A 4940-nucleotide genomic window follows, 5' to 3' on the forward strand; every position below is an offset into this window, starting at 1 on the left:
TAAGGTGTTTCCTCTAGCTTTGTTCTTTTTGCTTAGGATAGTTTTGGCTATTCTGGGTCTTTGGTGGTTCCATATGAATTTTAACATTGTTTTTCTATTTCTGTGAAGAATGTCTTTGGTATTTTGACAGGAATTGCATAAAATCTGTAGGTTGCTTTGGGTAGTGTGAACATTTGAACAATATTTATTCTTCCAATCTATGAACAGAATATATTTCCATTTTTGGTGTCCTCTTTACTTTTTTTATCAGTGTTTCATAATTTTCATCATAGAGGTCTTTCATTTCTTTGGTTAAGTTAATTCCTAGGTATGTAATTTTACGTGTGGCTATTGTAAATATGATTACTTTCTTGATTTCTTTTTCAGATTATTCACTATTGGCATATAGAAATGCTGCTGACTTTTGTATGTTGATTTTATATCCTGCTACTTTAGTGAATTTGTTTATAAGTTCTAATAGTTTTCCTGTGGAGTCTTTAGGTTTTTCCAAATAGCCATATCATCTACAAACAAAGATAATTTGGCTTCTTTCTTTCCAATTTTGATGCCATTCATTTGTTTCTCTTGCCTGATTGCTCTAGCTAGGATTTCCAGTACTATGTTGAATACCAGTAGCAAAGGTGGGCATCCTTGTCATGTGCCAGGTCTTAGAGAAAAGGCTTTCAGTTTTTTTCCCCTTCAGTATGTTACTAGCTGTGAGTCTGTTGTATATGGCTTGTATTATGTTGAGGTATGTTCCTTCTACCCTCAGTTTTTAAGGGTTTTTATCATAAATGGATGTTGAATTTTATCAAATGTTTTTTCAGCATCAATCAAAATAATCATGTTTTTTGTTCTTCATTCTGTTAATATAAAGTGTCACATTGATTGATTTGCATATGTTGAACCATTCTTGCATACTTAGGATAAATCCCACTTGGTCATGATGAATGATCTTTTTAATGTATTGCTGAACTCAGTTTGCTAGTATTTTGTTGAGGATTTTTGCATCAATATTCATCAAGATACTGCCATGTAGTTTTTGGGTTTTGAGGTGTCTTTCTTTGGTTTTGGTATCAGGATAATACTGTCCTCGTAGAATGAGTTTGGAAGTATTCCCTCCTACTCCATTTTTTCAGAATACTTAGAATATGATTGGTTCTTCTTTAAATGTTTGGTAAAATTCAGCAGTGAAGCCATCTTTTCCAGGACTTTTCTTTGCTGGGAGACTTTTTATTATGGCTTCAATTTCATTATTTTTTATTGATAGGTTCAGATTTTAGATTTCTTCCCAGTTTAATCTTGGCAGGTTGTATGTCTCTAGGAATTTGTCCATTTCTTCTAGATTTTCCAATTTGTTGGCATGTAGTTGTTCATAGTAGCAACTAATGATCCTTTGAATTTTTGTCATATCTGTTGTAATGTCTCCTTTTTCATCTCTAATTTCATCAATTTGGATCTTCTCTCCTTTTCTCAGTTTGGCTGAAGGTTTGTTGATTTTGTTTCACAATTTAAAACAACAATTTTTTGTTTCATTTCTCTTTTGTATTGTTTTTTGTTTCAGATTTATTTATTTCTGCTCTCATCTTTATTATATATTTTCTTCTACTAATTTTAAGTTTGGCTTGCTCTCGTTTTTCTAGTTCTTTAAGATGCATTATTAGATCATTCATTTGAAGTTTTTCCTCTTTTTTGATGTAGGGACTTATAGCTTTAAACTTCCCTCTGAGTACTGCATTTGCTGTATCCCATAGGTTTTGATACACTGTGTTTCCATTATCATTTGTATCTAGACATTTTTCATTTTCCTGCTTAATTTCTTCATTGACCCACTGGTCACTCCGGAGCATATTGTTTAATTTCCATGCATTTGTATAGTTTCCAAAATCCCTCTTGTTATTGGTTTCCAGTTTTATTCCACTGTGGTAAGAGAAGATGCTTGATATTAGTTCAATTTTTTGAATGTTTTAAGACCTATTTTGTGACAACCTATGGTCTGTCCTTGAGAATAATCCATGTGTTGAGGAGGAGAATGTGTATTCGGCAGCTGTTGGATGAAATGTTCTTTAAATATTTATTAGGTCCATTTAGTCTATAGTGCAGACTAAGTCCAATGTTTCTTTGTTGATTTTGTGTCTGGAAGAACTGTTCAGTGCTTAAAGTGGGATACTGAAATCTCCAGCTCTTATTGTATTGGGTGTCCTATCTCTCTCTTTAGCTCTAATAATAGTTCCTTCACATATCTGGGTGCTCTAGTGTTGTGTGCATATATACTTACAATTCTACATCCTCTTGCTGAATTGACCCCTTTATCATTTTATAGTGACCTTCTTTGTCTCTTCTTACAGTTTTTGTCTTGAAATCTATTTTGTCTAATATAAATGTAGCTACTCCTGCTCTTTTTAGTTTTCCGTCCTCATGGAATATCTTTTTCCATCCCTTTATTTTCTATCTATTGGTGTCTTTATAGGTGAAGTGTTTCTTGTGAGTAACAAATCAATGAGTCTTGTTTTTTCATCCATTCAGCAAGTCTTTGTCTTTCAATTGGAGAGTTTCAACAATCTACATTCAATGTTATTAATGATAAGTAAGGACTTACTTCTGTCATTTTGTTATTTGTTTTCTGGTTTTGTGGTCTTCTTTTCTTTCTTTCCTTCCTGTCTCCTTTTTAGTGAACGTGATTTTCTCTGGGGATGTGGTTTTGTTTCTTGATTTTTATTTTTTGTGTATTCATTGTATGATTTTTGGTTTGAGATTACTATGATGCTTGCAAATACTATCTTGTAATCTATTATTTTAAGCTGATAACTTAACCCTGTTTGCATAAACAAGCAAAAAGAAAGCTCACAAAGACTCTGTCACTTAACTTTGACCCCCTACTTTTTCACTTTTTGTTGTTTCTATTTATATGTTATTATACTGTCTATGTCTGCAAACGTTATTGTGTTTATTATTTTTGGCTGGCTCATAATTTAGTCTTTCTACTTAATAGTAGTTTACACAACACAGTTACAGTGGTATAGTAATCTGTGTTTTTCTGTGTATTTACTATTAGCAGTGAGTTTCATACCTTCAGGTGACTTCTTATTGCTCATTAACATCTTTCTCTTTCTGATTGAAGTATTCCCTTTAGCATTTCTTGTAGGACAGGTCTGGTATTAATGAAATCCCCCAGCTTTTGTTTGTCTGGGAAAGTTTTTATTTCTTCTTCATGTTTGAGGACATTTTCACCAGATACACTATTCTAGGGTAAAAGTTCTTTTTCCTTCAGCACTTTATATCATGCTACTCTCTCCTGGCCTATAAGGTTTCCACTGAAAAGTCTGCTTCCAGATGTAGTGGAGCTCCATTGTATGTTATTTGTTTCTTTTCTCTTACTGCTTTTAGGATTCCTTCTTTATCCTTAACCTTTGAGAGTACTACTCCCAAAGTTCTACTTTCTACTCCTATCTCTTTCTCCACCTCCTCTTTAAGGCCAATAACTCTTAGATGTACCCTTTTGAGGCTGTTTTCTAAATCCTGTAGGAGTGTGTCATTGTTTTTTATTATTTTTTCTTTTGTCGCTTGTGTATTTTCAAATAGCCTAACTTCAAGCTAATTCTTCTGCTTAATCAATTCTGCTATTAAAAGACTCTGATGCATTCTTCATTATAGCAATTACATTTTTCAGCTTCAGAATTTCTGCTTGAATCTCTTTGTTAAATTTATCTGATAGAATTTTTAATTCCTTCTCTGTGTTCTCTTGAATTTTTTTGAGTTTGCTAAACACAACTGTTTTGAATTCTCAGTCTGAAGGGTCATATTTCTGTTTCTCCAGAATTTCTCCCTGGCTTCTTATTTAGTTTATTTTGTGAGGTCAAATTTTACTGGATTGTGTTGATCCTTGTAGATGTTCTTTGGTGTATGAGCATTGATGAGTTAGGTATTCATTGTAGTGTTCTCAGTCTTATTTGTAGTTGTCCTTCTTGGGAAGACTTTCCAGATATTCAAAAGGACTTGGGTGTTGCGATTAAGCTGTATCTGCTTTAGGGGGCACCCCAGCCCAGTAATGCTGTGGTTCTTAGAGGCTTCTTGAGGTACTGCCTTGATGGTCTTGGACAAGTTCCAGAATAATTACCTGGATTACTAGGCAGAGACTCTTGTTCTCTTCCAGTACTTTCTTCCAAAGGAACAGAGTCTCTCTCTCTCTCTCTCTCTTTCTGTTCTGAGCTACCTGGAGCTGGAGGTGGTGTGACACAAGAACCCCTGTGGCCACCACCACTAGGACAGCACTGGGCCAGACCTGAAACCAGCACAGCACTGGGTCTTGCCCAAGGCCTACTGTAATGAATCCCTGGCTATGGCTTATGTTCACTCAAAGCCCTGAGGCTCTACAATCAACAGGTGGCAAAGCCAGCCAGGCCTGTGTCCTTCCCTTCAGAGTGATGATTTCCTCCAGGCCCTGAACTTGTCCAGGGTTGCTGTCCAGAAACCAGGGACTAGAGTCAAAAACCTTACAAGTCTACCTGGTGTTCTATTGTACTGCTGCTGAGCTGACACTGAAACCACAACACACAGTCCTTCCCATTCTTCTCTTACTTTTCCAAGGGAAGAGAAGCCCCACCCCATGGCCACCAGTACCACAAGCCTATAGGGAGTACTGCCAGACTAACCCCAATGTTCCCTTAAGGCCCAAGATCTCCTAAGTCAGATTCTGGTGAAAGTTGCCTGGCCTGGGACCCAACCTTCAAAGCTGAAGTCTCCCCTCTGGCACAGGGCAGCCCCAGAAATTCTGTCCAAGAACCAAGTCCTAGAACTGGGAGCCCCAAAAGCCTGCTTGGTGCTCTTATAGCCCTGTGGCCAAGCTGGTACCTAAGGTGCAAGACAAAGTCCGCTTTGCTTTTCCCTCTGCTTTTCTCAAGCAGAAGGAGTCTTGCTCCATAGCCACCATAGCTGGGAATGTGCTGAGTCTCACCTGAAGC

The sequence above is a fragment of the Homo sapiens genome, chromosome X (genome assembly GCF_000001405.40).
Source record: "Homo sapiens chromosome X, GRCh38.p14 Primary Assembly".
In the NCBI taxonomy this organism is placed as follows: Eukaryota; Metazoa; Chordata; class Mammalia; order Primates; family Hominidae; genus Homo; species Homo sapiens.